The following is a 16159-nucleotide window of genomic DNA, read 5'->3' on the forward strand; positions in this document are numbered from 1 at the left end:
CATCGTCTGAAGCCTTCTTCTCTCAGCTCGTCAAAGTCATTCTCCATCCAGCTTTGTTCGGTTGCTGGTGAGGAACTGCGTTCCTTTAGAGGAGGAGAGGCGCTCTGCTTTTTAGAGTTTCCAGTTTTTCTGTTCTGTTTTTTCCCCATCTTTGTGGTTTTATCTACTTTTGGTCTTTGATGATGGTGATGTACAGATGGGTTTTTGGTGTGGATGTCCTTCCTGTTTGTTAGTTTTTCTTCTAACGGACAGGACCCTCAGCTGCAGGTCTGTTGGAGTACCCGGCCATGTGAGGTGTCAGTCTGCCCCGGCTGGGGGGTGCCTCCCAGTTAGGCTGCTCAGGGGTCAGGGGTCAGGGACCCACTTGAGGAGGCAGTCTGCCCATTCTCAGGTCTCCAGCTGCGTGCTGGGAGAATCACTGCTCTCTTCAAAGCTGTCAGACAGGGACATTTAAGTCTGCAGAGGTTACTGCTGTCTTTTTGTTTGTCTGTGCCCTGCCCCAGAGGTGGAGCCTACAGAGGCAGGCAGGCCTCCTTGAGCTGTGGTGGTCTCCACACAGTTGGAGCTTTCCGGCTGCTTTGTTTACCTAAGCAAGCCTGGGCAAGGGCAGGCGCCCCTCCCCCGGCCTCACTGCCACCTTGCAGTTTGATCTCAGACTGCTGTGCTAGCAGTCAGTGAGACTCTGTGGGCGTAGGACCCTCCAAACCAGGTGCGGGATATAATCTCCTGGTGCACCATTTTTTTAAGCCCATCGGAGAAGTGCAGTATTCGGGTGGGAGTGACCTGATTTTCCAGGTGCCGTCTGTCACCACTTTCTTTGACTAGGAAAGGGAACTCCCTGACCCCTTGCACTTCCCGAGTGAGGTGATGCCTCGCCCTGCTTTGGCTCGCACATGGTGCGCTGCACCCACTGACCTGCGCCCCTGTCTGGCACTCCCTAGTGAGATGAACCCGGTACCTCAGATGGAAATGCAGAATTCACCCATCTTCTGCATCGCTCATGCTGGGAGCTGTAGCCTGGAGCTGTTCCTATTCGGTCATCTTGGCTCCTCTCTCCTTGAGTGAGTTTCTTAATCCTGAGTTCTAGTTTGATTGCACTGTGGTCTGAGAGACAGTTTGTTATAATTTCTGTTCTTTTACATTTGCTGAGCAGTGGTTTACTTCCAACTATGTGGTCAATTTTGGAATAGGTGTGGTGTGGTGCTGAGAAAAATGTATATTCTGTTGACTTGGAGAGGAGATTTCTGTAGACATCTATTAGGTCCGCTTGGTGCAGAGCTGATTTCAATTCCTGGATATCCTTGTTAAATTTTTGTCTTGTTGATCTGTCTAATGTTGACAGTGGGGTGTTAAAGTCTCCCATTATTGTTGTGTGGGCATCTAAGTCTCTTTGTAGGTCTCTAAGGACTTGCTATATGAGTCTGGGTGCTCCTGTGTTGTGTGCACATATTTTTAGGATAGTTAACTCTTCTTGTTGAATGGATCCCTTTACCATTACGTAATGGCCTTCTTTGTATCTTTTGATCTTTGTTGGTTTAAAGTCTGTTTTATCAGAGACTAGGATTGCAACCCCTGCCTCTTTTTGTTTTCCATTTGCTTGGTAGATCTTCCTCCATCCCTTTGTTTTGAGCCTATGTGTGTCTCTCACATGAGATGGGTCTCCTGAATACAGCACACTGATGGGTCTTGACTCTTTATCCAATTTGCCAGTCTGTGTCTTATAATTAGAGCATTTAGCCCATTTACATTTAAGGTTAATATTGTTATGTGTGAATTTGATCCTGTCATTATGATGTTAGCTGGTTATTTTGCTCATTAGTTGATGCAGTTTCTTCCTAGTCTCGATGGTCTCTACAATTTGGCATGTTTTTGTAGTGGCTGGTACTGGTTATTCCTTTCCATGTTTAGTGCTTCCTTCAGGAGCTCTTTTAGGGCAGGCCTGGTGGTGACAAAATCTCTCAGCATTTGCTTGTCTGTAAAGTATTTTATTTCTCCTTCACTTATGAAGCTTAGTTTGGCTGGATATGAAATTCTGGGTCAAAAATTCTTTTCTTTAAGAATGTTCAATATTGGTCCCCACTTTCTTCTGGCTTGTAGAGTTTCTGCTGAGAGGTCAGCTGTTAGTCTGATGGGCTTCCCTTTGTGGGTAACCTGACCTTTCTCTCTGGCTGCCCTTAACATTTCTTCCTTCACTTCAACTTTGGTGAATCTGATAATTATGTGTCTTGAAGTTGCTCTTCTTGACTATCTTTGTGGCATTCTCTGTATTTCCTGAATGTGAATGTTGGCTTGCCTTGCTAGATTGGGGAAGTTCTCCTGGATAATATCCTGCAGAGTGTTTTCCAACTTGGTTCCATTCTCCTTATTACTTTCAGGTACACCAATCAGAAGTAGATTTGGTCTTTTCACATAGTCTCATATTTCTTGGAGGCTGTGTTCATTTCTTTTTATTCTTTTTTCTCTAAACTTCTCTTCTTGCTTCATTTCATTCATTTCATCTTCCATCACTGATACCCTTTCTTCCAGTTGATCGCATTGGCTACTGAGGCTTGTGCATTCGTCATGTGGTTCTCATGCCATGGTTTTCAGCTCCATCAGATCCTTTAAGGACTTCTCTGCATTGGTTATTCTAGTTAGCCATTCATCTAATCTTTTTTCAAGGTTTTTAACTTCTTTGTGATGTGTTCAAACTTCCTCCTTTAGCTCAGAGAAGTTTGATCATCTGAAGCCTTCTTCTCTCAACTCGTCAAAGTCATTCTCCATCCAGCTTTGTTCCCTTGCTGGTGAGGAGCTGCAGTCCTTTGGAGTGGGGAGAGGAGCTCTGATTTTTAGAATTTTCAGTTTTTCTGCTCTGCTTTATCCCCATCTTTGTGGTTTTATCTACCTTTGGTCTTTGATGATGGTGACATACAGATGGGGTTTTGGTGTGGATGTCCTTTCTGTTTGTTAGTTTTCCTTCTAACAGTCAGGACCCTCACCTGCAGGTCTGTTGGAGTTTGCTGGAGGTCCACTCCAGACCCTCTTTGCCTGGGTATCAGCAGCAGAGGCTGCAGAACAGCGAATATTGCTGAACAGCAAATGTTGCTGTCTGATCGTCCCTCTGGAGATTTTGTCTCAGAGGGGTACCCGGCCGTGTGAGGTGTCAGTCTGCCCCTACTGGGGGATGCCTCCCAGATAGGCTACTCGGGGGTCAGGGACCCACTGGTGGAGGCAGTCTGTCCATTCTCAGATCTCAAACTCCGTGCTGGGGTAACCACTACTCTCTTCAAAGCTGTCAGACAGGGACATTTAAGTCTGCAGAGGTTTCTGCTGTCTTTTGTTTGGCTATGCCTTTCCCCCAGAGGTGGGGTCTACAGTGGCAGGCAGGCCTCCTAGAACTGCGGTGGGTTCCACCCAGTTCGAGCTTCCTTGACACCCTGCTTCAGCTCATGCTCCATGCACTGCACCCACTGTCCTGCACCCACTGTCCAACAAGCCCTGGTGAGATGAACCCGGTACCTCATTTGGAAATGCAGACATCACCCATGTTCTGCGTCGCTCACACTGGGAGCTGTAGACTGGAGCTGCTCCTATCAGCCATCTTGGAACAGCCCACCTAGTTAGCTCTTCTTGTTGAATTGATCCCTTTACCATTATGTAATGGCCTTCTTTGTCTCTTTTCATCTTTGTTGGTTTAAAGTCTGTTTTGGCTACCTTTATTTTTAAAAAATATTAGTCTAGACTCTGATGGAAGAAATATGGCATCATACAGAGAGCATTTTTGGACAGAAATAACATGGGGAAGAGAATACCTACACAAGCTGAAAGACAAAGAATTTATTTATTAACCCATATGTGTATTCCATAGTTGTAATAAAATATAGTTGGTTGTCTACCCACTATTCATTTTCCTTTATTTCTTCCTGAAAGGACTATTATTTTGTGTGGAAGGTAATGCAGCCATATAAATAAAGTCTTTTTGTCCAAGCTTCCATTGTAGCTATGGTGGCACTTGTCTTAGTTTGCATTCCTGAGATATGGCTGTGAGTAAAGGTCATGTACTGGGGGAGAAATTGTAGTGAAGAATGAAGCTTACCTAAAGACAAATCTGACCTTTGCCCTCAGCTACTGGGAGACAATCTCTGAATCACTGGAGTGTACTGCCTAATAAGAATGTCTTTCTTTGTTTGGAGGCTTTAGCCACTGGACAATCTAACAATGTGATTTGTGATGGGGTCTTTAGGATATTCTATGTCGATTTATACCTCCAGAGGCACTGGAGACTGAGGTATTATTCTGAACTTCCAGGAGTATCTTGAATCTTAGAGAGCAGTCAGTCATGTGGTCAGTAAATAATCAAGTCCCAATAAAAACTCCGGACACCAAAAGTTCATGTGAGCTTCCTGGGTTAACAGTACTCCATGCATATTGCGACAGTTAATGGCAAGAAAGTAACACATCTTTGAGGACTATTGTATTACACGTCCCACATGAGGTTACTTAAGGGTATATATTTGCCTGGTTCCTGAACCCTGAAGGCTGGGTTGTGAGCTAAGGCCATGGTGCCCAGTGAAGGAGCAGGTGTCCCTGAAAATCTAAACATCCCAGAGACTATCTGAGAACCTAACAAGAAAATCAGTCTCACTGCATTCACACAGTATACAAAAGGCCAAAAAATTACCTTAAAAGCAGTTTAGAGATGGGAAGAGGCATGGATCTCTAGAGCTCTCCTGCTGCTGTCCAAGAGTGTCCTGTAAGTCCTAATAAACACATCTGTGAGAAAACATTTTACATGGTCCATTTTCAAGATATGATAAATCTAAGTACTGGCAGCCAGCCTGCAGATGTGAGAAACCACACAGCTCATGCACCTAGAAATTCACAATAAGCAAACAGAATGTAGAGGATGGGTCAGCCCATAAAAGGGAAGTTTCATTATTGGCAAATCAAAACTTATGTGGGGAAGGAGACCAGGGCATAACCTTATAAGGGGGATAATGAAACTTAGGCAACATCCAGTAAGATTATAACCCCATAGTACTCAACCAGTGAGGAACTGGGGAAGGGACTCGTGTGCTAGGAGATAAATTACCTGCTGTAACTGCCCCAGGTGTGCCTGCCTGCCAGACACCCAATCTTGCAAGGCCACCATTAAAAGACTTGCTTCTGCTGTTCTTTGTGTCTCCGAGTCCATTCTCTGGGTTTCAACGGATGAATGTGTTTCTCACAAACTTGGGGGCTCATCTGGGATCTATGAGCCTGTGTGGAGTGGGACTCCAGTTGAGAAGGGAGATGCCTCCCACCTGATTTAGGTGGCCCTCTCTGTCCAGATGTCCCGGCTCCCCACAGAGGCCATAGACAAACCTGAGACTGTTATTCAGAAGGCAGCAGAGACGACACAGGGAGAAAAGCAGGCACAGCAGCAACCAGGCAACCTCGTTCATGAGCCAAGGTAGGAAAATTGGACTCTATGTACTGTCTTAGTGGTTGGAGGTCAAGTGTGTGTAACTGAGATGTATCTTAGATACAAAGTGAGTGCAGAGTTTTGTTCTCCTACAAGGGAAATGGCCAGAGATGGATGAAGCGATTCTCAGAGTGTGCAAAAAATCTCCAGTAGGGGGGGTTGAGTACACAAGGAAAAGTTCAGACACAGAGACTGACCAAAAATGGGAAACAGAAATTCTAGGCCTAGGGGACAAAGGAAAGAGGGAGTCAAAGAGAATTCCTCTGACATTTTCCTGGATACTCCTTTGGGGATAATGCTGCAGGTTTGGAGGGACAACCCTCAAACCAGGGACAAGGAAAAGCAAAAGATGATAAAGTATTCCTGTCTTATCTGGCTCAAAGTCCTCATTCATAAGCCTTCAGTGTTTTGGCCCAAATTTGGCTCAGATGAGGATTGGGTGTGCCAAGCTTTAATCCTCTATGTGAATGATAAAACCCCATCCTCACAAGAGGAGATAGGTTATGCTCTTAGCTGGATCAAGGAATTAGTCCCCACATTCCCTCTCAAAGAAGAAGAAAAAAAAACTAGTAAAAAGCCCTTGCCCAGTGAAAAGCCCTGGGACCCCCCTATCACACTTGCCCCCTCCATATATCTTACAATATAGGGGACAGAAAGATCAAGGGGCAGCAGGTGGGTTAGAGGAGGAAAGACCTGGAGACCATGGGGGAGCCAAACCAACTCTTCCTTTCAATCCTAATCCAAATTTAAGAAAATAATTAGAACAGTGTAAGAGGAATATTGAGAAATTCCCTATTCCTTTCACACAACAGGCATCTAGCATGTTTCCTCTTAGGGAAGTTCTCATGGGACAGGGAGAGAATGGCTTTGTAAATGTTCCTCTTACAAGTACTGAAGTTAAGAATTTCAAGAAGGAAATGAAACCACTCCTAGAAGATCCCCTCAGTTTAGCAGACCAGCTGGACCAATTCCTAGGACCTGGCTTTTACACCGAGCATGACCAGTTAATAGAGGCAATACCCTCTTGGGAAGAAGTTTTGCCAGATGAACAAAAATTTTCAAATGTCGATCCCAAATGGTATAATAATGATCCCAGGGAATGGACCCAAATGCAGGACCTCAGGGAACTATAATTAAAGGGATCAAAGAGTCCACTTCTAGCACACCAAATGTCTCAAAAGCATTCAAGATTCAACAAGAAAAAGAGGTCACTCCCTCTGCATTTCTACAGAGGTTCAGAGATCAAATGAGAAAATACTCCAGATTAGATCCAGAGGACCTAGTAAGGCAAAGCCTTCTGAAGGTTAACTTTGTAACTAAGAGCTGGCCTGACATTACAAAGAAATTACCAAAAAAACTGATGAATGGAATGAGAAACCAATTGAGGAATCACTGAGTGAAGCTGAGAAGGTCTTTGTAAGAAGAGAAGAGAAGCAGAAACAGAAAGCCAAAATCATAGTTTCCATTGTGGAAGAGGTAGTCAGAAAAAGGTTAGATCAAGATCCCCCTCAAAGTAGATAAGGTGTTGACACAGAGAAAGAAGGGAAACTCAGGGAAAACTCCTAAGACTAACTGGATGTTACAATTGTGATAAGCCAGGGCATCTTAAGAGAGAATGCCCTGAATGGAAGAAAGAAGAAAAGGTTATCCCTCTCATGACCATTGATGAAGACTAGAAGGGTCAGGGATTCTTTCTGAGTAGGTCTCACCAGGAACCCTTAATACATTTGAAGATGGGACCATGCTCAACACGACTACTTATCAGGGAAATGCAAGTCAAACTACAATGAGATATTTCTTCATGCTTGTTAGTATGGCTATTATTAAAAACACAAAATATAAGTGTTACAGGGATGTGGAGTAAAGGAAACCCTTGTGTACTGTTGGTGGGAATGTAATTTGGTACAGCCAGTATGGGAAACAGTATAGAGGTTCTTCAAAAAGTTAGAATTAGAATTACCATATCATCAAGCAATTCTACTTCTGGTTATTATCCAAAGGAATCTAAATCAGGATCTCCAGGAGATATCTTCATGCCCATATTTTTGCAATATTATTCACAATAGCTGCAATATTAAAACAACCTAAATGTCCATCAATGAATGAATAAAGAAAAAGTAGTATACACACACACACACACACACACACACACACACAGAGAAATAGTATTCAGTCTTTAAAGAACAAAGATGAAGGTATTACACTATCTGACTTCAAACTATATTATAAGGCTACAATAATCAAAACAGCATGGTACTGTTTTGACACAATCACAGACCCGTAGATCAATGGAACAGAAAAGAAAACTCAGAAATAAAGCTGCCCACTTACAACCATCAGTTCTTTGGCAAGGCCAACAAAAATAAGCAATGTGGAAAGAACTTCCTATTCAATAAGTGATACTGGGATAACTGGCTAGCCAAATACAGAAGATTGATTTCACCATATACAAAAATTACTCAAAATGGATAAAATATTTAAATGTAAGACCTCAAACTATGAAAATCCTATTTAAAAACCCTAGCGCGGTGGCTCACGCCTGCAATCCCAGCACTTTGGGAGGCCGAGGCAGGTGGATCATGAGGTCAGGAGATCGAGACCATCCTGGCTAACAAGGTGAAACCCCGTCTCTACTAAAAAAAATACAAAAAATTAGCCAGGCGCGGTGGCGGGCGCCTGTAGTCCCAGCTACTCGGGAGGCTGAGGCAGGAGAATGGCGTGAACCCAGGAAGCGGAGCTTGCAGTGAGCCGAGATTGCGCCACTGCAGTCCGCAGTCCGGCCTGGGCGACAGAGCGAGACTCCGTCTCAAAAAAAAATAAAAATAAAAATAAAAATAAAAACCCTAGAAAATACCCTTTCTCTACATCAGACTTGGCCAAAAAATTTTGGCAAAGTCTTCAAAAGCAACTGAAATAAAAACAAAAATTGACGAGTGAGACCTAATTAAAAATCTTCCTCACAGCAAAAGTAACTATCAATAGAGTAAACAGACAACTTACAGGATGGGAGAAAATATTCACAAACAATACATCCAACAAAGGTCTAATATCAACAATCTATAAGGAATTTAAACAAATTTATAAACAAAAAATAAACAACCCCATTAAAAAGTGGGCAAAGAACATGAACAGACACTTCTCAAAAGAAAAAAATATGCAGCCCACAAACATGTGAATAAAAATGTTCAGTATCACTAATCATCAGAGAAATGTAAATCAAAACCACAGTGAGATACCATCTCACACCAGTTAGAATGGCTACTATTAAAAAGTCAAAAGACAATAGATCCTGGCCAGGCTGTGGAGAAAAGGGAATGTTTATAGAATGTTGGGAATGTAAATTAGTTCAGCCACTGTGGAAAGCACTCTGGAGATTTCAAACAACATAAAACAGAGCTACCATTTGACCATTACCCATTACTGGTATATACCAAAAAGACACATGCACTCATATGTTCATCACCATGCTATTCACAATAGCAAAGACATTAAATCCACCTTGCTGCCCATCAGTGGTGAATTGGATAAAGAAAATGTGGTACATATACACCATGGAATACTATGCAGCCATTAAAAATAATGAAATTATGTCTTTTTTAGCACCATGGATGGAGCTGGAGGCCATAATCCTAACTGAATTAATGCTGGAATGGAAAACCAAATACTGCATGTTCTCACTTATAAGCGGGAGATAAACACTGAGCACATATGGATATAAATGTGGAAACAATAGACTCTGGAGACTACTAGGGGACAGAAAGGGAAGAGGGTATGGGTTGAAAGACTACCTATTGGGTTCTATGCTTACTACTTGAGTGCAATATAGTCATGTAAAAAACCTGCACATGTACCCCCTGTATTTAAAATAAAAGTTGAAATTTTAAAAAAATTATATGTGTTTGTGTGTATGCATGTGTATATGAGTGTATGTATGAATTAGTCCATTTTCACACTGCTATCAAGAAAGTACCCAAGACTGGGTAATTTATAAAGTAAAGAGGTTTGACTCACAGTTTCTCATGGCTGTGAGGCCTCACGAAACTTACTATTATGGCAGAAAACAAAGGGGAAGGGAGGCATGTCTTACATGGCAGCAGGCAAGACAGAAGAGTGCAGGGGAAAACTGCCAAACACTTTTTCAAAACCATCAGATTGCAAGAGAACTCACTCACTGTATTAGTCCATTTTCATGCTGCTAATAAAGACATACCCTAGACTTGGCAATTTATAAAAGAAAGAGGTTTAATGGAGCTAAAGTTCCACATGGCTGGGGAGGCCTCACAATCATGGCAGAAGGCAAGGAGGAGCAAGTCACATCTTACATGGATGGCAGTAGGCAAAGACAGAGAGCTTGTCCAGGGAAACTCCCATTTTTAAAACCATCAGCTCTCATAAGACGTGTTTAGTATCAGGAGAACAGCATGGGAAAGACCTGCCCCCATGATTCAATTACCTCCCACCAGGTCCCTCACCCAACACATGGGAATTCAAGATGATATTTGGGTGGGGACACAGCCAAACCATTTCACCCACTATCACGAGAACAGCATGGGGGAAGCACGCCCATAATCCCATCACCTCCCACAGGGTCCTTCCCTTGGCACAAGGGGATTACAATTTGAGATGAAATTTGAGTGGGTACACAGAGCCAAACCACATCAGTGTAAATACACACATTTAGTATGTATGTATGTGTGTGTGTGTGTCTACATAAAAATCAAACTTTTCTTCACAGCAAAAGTAAGCAAAGTAAAAAAATTAATATTGAGATATAAATAAACTAAATATCAACTCATATAAAGGAGGGTACTTAACTCAATATCAATTTTAAAACAAAATACTTTTTCAGATGGCAACGTATATAACAGATAATTCACATAAAATAAAAAATTAATTATTCTGAGAAATATAAAAAGATATCCAACCTGGTTCATATGAGTAAAGGGCAAACAAAATATATTATTTTTCACTTATAAAAATAAATTTTAATAAAAGTTTCCTGTCTATTAGAATTTAGAGAAATAGTCACTAGATTTGGTAGAAGTAGTATAAATTGGTACAGCCTCTGGAGGGTACCTGAGCAATAAGTATCAAAAGTTATCATTATTAAATCCTTTACACAGTTTCCTCTCCAAAATACCTTTTAATCCTACAGATATATTCACAATAATTTACAGTAACATTGTTTATATTAGTAAAATATTGAAAACAATCTAAATGTCACCAATGGGTGGGGGAAAGAGTCTGATTAAACAGAGTATGAATGCAACTGTTCAATAAAATATAATACAAACAATAAAAAGAGTGAGGCTTCTGTCTTCATACTGATGGAGACAAATCACCCCCAAACATGTGAATAATATGTATGAATAAGACATACATTGTCTTTTGTTGCTGGGGGAATAAAGTATATGAACATAATATGTTTTCGAATGCAAGGCAAGTCTTGTAAATCTGGAAGAATAACATGAACTTGTAACAGTGGTGATCCCCAGGGAAGGAAACTGAAGATCAGAAATCAAGGGAGGGGTGGGGACATGGTTTATACTCCATACACTTTCATATTTCTGAATTTTTACCATAAAATGATTTGTTATTTATCCCTCAAACTCAAAATAAGAGAAGCTGAGGGTAAGAAATAAAAGCAGGAAGAAAGAAAAAAGAGGGAAGAAAGAGAGGAAGAATAAAAGGGAGGAAGAAGGTTAAAAATAAATTGTCAGTAGCAGGGCAATTCTCAAAAATGAAAGCAAAAAGTCCCTGCTGGCATTAAAACAAGAATTTTCTTCCCCCTGGAGAGCTTAACTTTGCTTCAGCAGAAAATAAGTAGCAAACATTGTTTTTCCCAGTTACATCTGAGCCCCTGGAACTTCAGGTTCTCCAGGGAGCGGGTATTGATCTCTTATGCCCCAGCTATATACTCACTGATGAGGAGGAACTGAAAAGAGAGACCTTGATCAGCAATCAGTGCCAGTTGCCTAAAGAGAATGTGTAGGCAACCTCAACGTAAGTAAAACAAAGCAAATAGCATTTTGTTCAAAGTCTGCCATGTATCATGCCAGTGCATGGTGGAAATTTTGGAGCAAAAGGTTACTCAAATCCCCAGCATGTTTCACCTCAAAACCAGGAGGAATTACTTCATCCCTGGTAGTTTGATTCAGGCTGAGTATTACCTGGGAAAGAATATGAACGAACAAATGATTGAATGAATCAGTCAATCGACTGATCAATTAAGCAATCAACACAATATGCCTTTAATGTATTATTTGGTATTAAAGTCATTGCTGGGCATATCTTCCATTCCCAGCCCCGTGTTGGGAATTTACATAAATTTGCTCACTTAAACCTCACATCACTGCACAAAAGACCTTACTTTTTTGCCTTCATTTTTTAACTTTTTATTAGGAAATATAGATTCACAGGAAGTTTCAAAGATAATAGGGAGAAGTTTCATATATCCTTCACTCACTTTTCCCTCAATGGTTCAATCTTACATAATTATAATATGACATCAAAACAGGATTTTGATGCTGGGACAATTGTATGTATAGCTCTATGTCATTTCAAATGTGCGTAGATTTGTGTAGCTACGACTACAGTTTAGATACAGACTTGTTTGATCATAGATCTCAGATTCTACATGTCTCCTTTGTGCTACCCCTTCTGGTCTTACCACACCCCTTCACTAACCACCCCAACCTCTAGCAATCACCAATCTGTTCTGTATTTCTATAATGTTGTAATTTTGGTAATATTTGTAACTGGAATTATATAGTATATGACCTTTTGATGTTGAATTTTTACACTCACAATAATGCCCTAGAGATTCATCCAAGTTTCTGCATATATCAACAGTTTATTTCTCTTTTATTTTGAGTAATATTCCATAGTATGGATGTACCACAATATGTTAAACCATTCACTTATCATAGGGCATTTGATCATTTACAGTTTTTGGCTACTACCAATATAAATATTATAAAAAATTTTGTACAGCATTTTGTGTGAATATAAGTTTTATGCAAATATAATTGCCCGCAAGTCCAAGGACTGGGTTGTATAGTAAGTGTATGTCTAGCTATCTACACAACTGCCAGACTATTTTCCAGAATGACCACCATTTTCACCAGCAGTGTATGAGAGATCTAGTTACTGTGTCTTTGCCAGCATTTGCTATTGTCATTGCTTTTTCATTTTAGCCATTCTGCAGTGACATCTCACTTGTAGTGTAGTGATAACTCATTTTGTTTTTACTTTGCATTTCCCTAATGACTAATGATGTTGGACATCTTTTCATCTGCTTATTTACCATCCATATAGCACTTTTTGGTAAAATGTCTGTTCATGTCATTCCTTCGTTTTCTAATGTGATTTTTTATTTTTAGTTTGAGAGTTCTTTATATTCTCTAAATGTATGTCCTTTATCAGATACGGCATTTTAAAATATTTTATTTTAGTCTGTAGTGTGCTTTTTCGTCCTCTTTAACAGAGCGAAAGCTTAATTTTAATGAGATTCAATTACTGAGGTTTTTTTTGGGGGGAGGGGGATTGTTCTTTTGGTGTCATGTCTAAGAACCCTTCACAAGACCTATCCTAAAAATTTTGCCCTGAAGATTTTGTCTTAGATTGCTCTCTAAGAGTTTTAAGGTTTTATATTTCACATTTAAAGCTGTGATTCATTTTGAGTTAATTTTTATATAAGGTATGAGGTTTAGGTTGGGGTTCATTTTTTTGCCTATGAATATCCAATTGTCTCAGCACTACTTATTGAAAAAAGGCTTCCTCCATTGAATTGTTTCTGAACCTGCTCAAAAATCAAATGGCTGCACTCACATGGATCTATTTGTCAATTCACTATTTTGTTCCATCTTTGTATCATTCCACCAATACCACAGTGTTAATTACTGTTGATATATAAAAACTCTCAATGTTAGATAAAGTGATTCATCTCATTTTTTCTTCTTTTTTAGAATTGTATCAGCTATTCTAATTTCTTTGCTCTTCCCTATAAATTTAGATTATTCTTTTCACATACTGAAAATACTGTGCTCAGATATTCATTGCACTGGTGTTAAACCTGTACATCAATTTGGGGAGAACAGACACCACTGTATTGAGTCTTATAATTCCCAAAAGCAACATATCTTTATTTAGATCTTCTTTGATTTCTTCCATCAGCATATTGTAATTTTCATCATCAAGTACTATACTGGTTTGTTAGATTTATACTTGAGTATTTCATTTTTGAACTATTATCAGTGGTACTGTGTTTATTCCAGTTCCCACACGTTTACTGCTAATATGGAAATACTATTGCTTTTTTATAACTATCTTGTATTCTGTAACTTTTCTGAACTCACTTATTACTTCTTGAAGTTTTTGGTATATTCTTGGAATCTTCTACATATACCATCATGTCATCTACAAATGACAGTTTTATTCCGCCTTTCTGATCTGTATGACTTTTAAGCCTATTCTTCCTTCACTGACTAGAATTTCCCCAACTATGTTGCATAGCACTGGGGAGAGTGAGAATTCTCTCCCATCTGTTCCCAATTTTAGGGGCAAGCATTCAGTTGGTAACTATTAAGTAGGATGTTAGCTATAGGTTTTTCTGTAGATATTCTTCATCAAGTTGAGGAAGTTGCCCTATTTTCCTAGTGTTCTGAGATTTTTAAAATTATGAGTAGATGTTGAATTTCATCAAATTCCTTATGTTTATCTATTTATATGATCCTGTGATTTTTCTCCTTTAGACCTGTAATATACCCCACTTGGTCACTGTGTATAATTTTTTACATATCACTGAATTCTATTTGCTAATATTTTGTTAAAGATTTTTGCATCTATATTCATTAAAAATATTGGGCTATGGTCTTCTTTTTTTGTGTGTGCCATTTTGCCTGCTTTTGCTAATAGGGTAATACTGGGTTCATAGAATAAGTTAAGAAGTGTTCTTTCCACATCTGTTTTCTGAAAGAAATTGTATAGAATTGAAGTTCTTTTTTAAACATTTAGTGAATTATGCTGTGATATTGTTAAAAGGAAGTTTTTACGTCATAAATTCAATTTTCATGGCTGTAGGGCTATTCAAATTATCAATTTCATATGGGTTAGCTTATACTTTTCAATTAATTTATTTATGTCATTTCAGTTGTCAAATTAATATGTGTATAGATGTTTGTAGTATTCTCTTATTCTCTTTTTGTGTCTGCAGAGTCTGTAGTGATATCCCTGTTTTTCTGGGCTTAGTAATTTGCATCTTTTCTCTCTTATCTTGGACAAACCTTCTGGAGGTTTGTCAGTTTTATTGTCTTAAAAACGAGCCTCTCTCTCACAGTTTTCTTTCCATTGTTTTTCTGTATCCAATTCATTGAATTCTGATCTTAGCCTTATTATTCTCCTTCTTCTGCTTGCTTTGGATTTGTTTTCTTCTTGTTTTCTACTTTACTTTTCTTCTTTTTCAACATTTTTGAAGTAAAGGCTTAGATTATTGATTTTAGCCTTTTTCTTTTTTTAACGTAAGCATCTAGTACTCTATGATGCCCACTAAACATTGATTTAACTGTACCCCATAAATTTTAAGTACCGTATTTTTATTAAGTTCAATTTTTGTATTTCCCTTGTGACTGCCTCTTTGACCCAAGGATTGTTTATAAATATGTTATTTTGTTTCCAAGTGCCTGGAGAGTTTCCTGCTACATTCTGTGATTTTTGTCTCCTTCAATTTCTTTGTGGTCAGGAACACACAGTGTGAATTGCATTCTTCTAAAATTATATAGATTATGTACAATCCGTCTTGATATATATTCTGCAAGTGCTGGAAAAAACATGTATTCTACTCATGTGAGGTGGACTGTTCTATAACTATTAATGGCATCCTGTTGGTTGATGGTGAGTGTTGGGTTCCTCTATATCCTTGCTGATTTTCTGTCTAGTTGTTCTATAAATTGCTGAGAAATAAATATTAAATTCTTCAACTATAATTGTATATTTGCCTTTACCTCAATTCAGTTTATTATTTTTTCCTTTATATATGTTGTAGCCCACTCGTTTGTTGCCTACACATTTAGGATTGCTATTTCTTTTTTTGTTTGTTTTTTTATACTTTAAGTTTTAGGGTACATGTGCACATTGTGCAGGTTAGTTACATATGTATACATGTGCCATGCTGGTGCGCTGCACCCACTAAATCATCACCTAGCATTAGGTATATCTCCCAATTTCTTTTCTTTTTTTTTTTAGAGACGGAGCCTCTCTCTGTCACCCAGGCTGGAGTGCAGTGGCGCGATCTCGGCTCACTGCAAGCTCCGCCTCCTGGGTTCACGCCATTCTCCCACCTCAGCCTCCCGAGTAGCTGGGACTAGAGGCGCCCGACACCATGGCCGGCTAATGTTTGCATTTTTTTAGTAGAGACGGGATTTCACTATGTTAGCCAGGATGATCTCGATCTCATGACCTCGTGATCCGCCCGCCTCGGCCTCCCAAAGTGCTGGGATTACAGGCGTGAGCCACCGCGCCCAGCCTAGGATTGCTATTTCTTTGTGATGGATTAACATTTTTATTAAGTAATGTCCGTCTTTGTCCTTGGAAATTTTTTTGCTGTGAAATATACTTTGTCTAATATTTATATAGCCATACTTTCATTCTTTTAATTCTTGTTTGCATGATATATCCTTTCCTTCTTTTTAATTCTAAGCTACTATATCTGAGGTGAGT

The 16159-nt window shown here is 39.6% G+C and overlaps 1 long non-coding RNA gene across 1 annotated transcript in view; it reads right to left on the bottom strand.

The window, feature by feature from the left end:
* Window positions 1-7229, bottom strand: part of LOC105369310 (uncharacterized) — a 49693-nt gene extending 42464 nt beyond the window's left edge. The window contains exon 1 of the long non-coding RNA XR_950121.2: window positions 4661-7229. This is a non-coding gene — a long non-coding RNA (uncharacterized LOC105369310). The remainder of the gene's footprint in view (window positions 1-4660) is intronic.
* Window positions 7230-16159: the final 8930 nt, after the last annotated feature.

The sequence above is a fragment of the Homo sapiens genome, chromosome 11, assembly GCF_000001405.40.
Source record: "Homo sapiens chromosome 11, GRCh38.p14 Primary Assembly".
Taxonomy (NCBI): domain Eukaryota; kingdom Metazoa; phylum Chordata; class Mammalia; order Primates; family Hominidae; genus Homo; species Homo sapiens.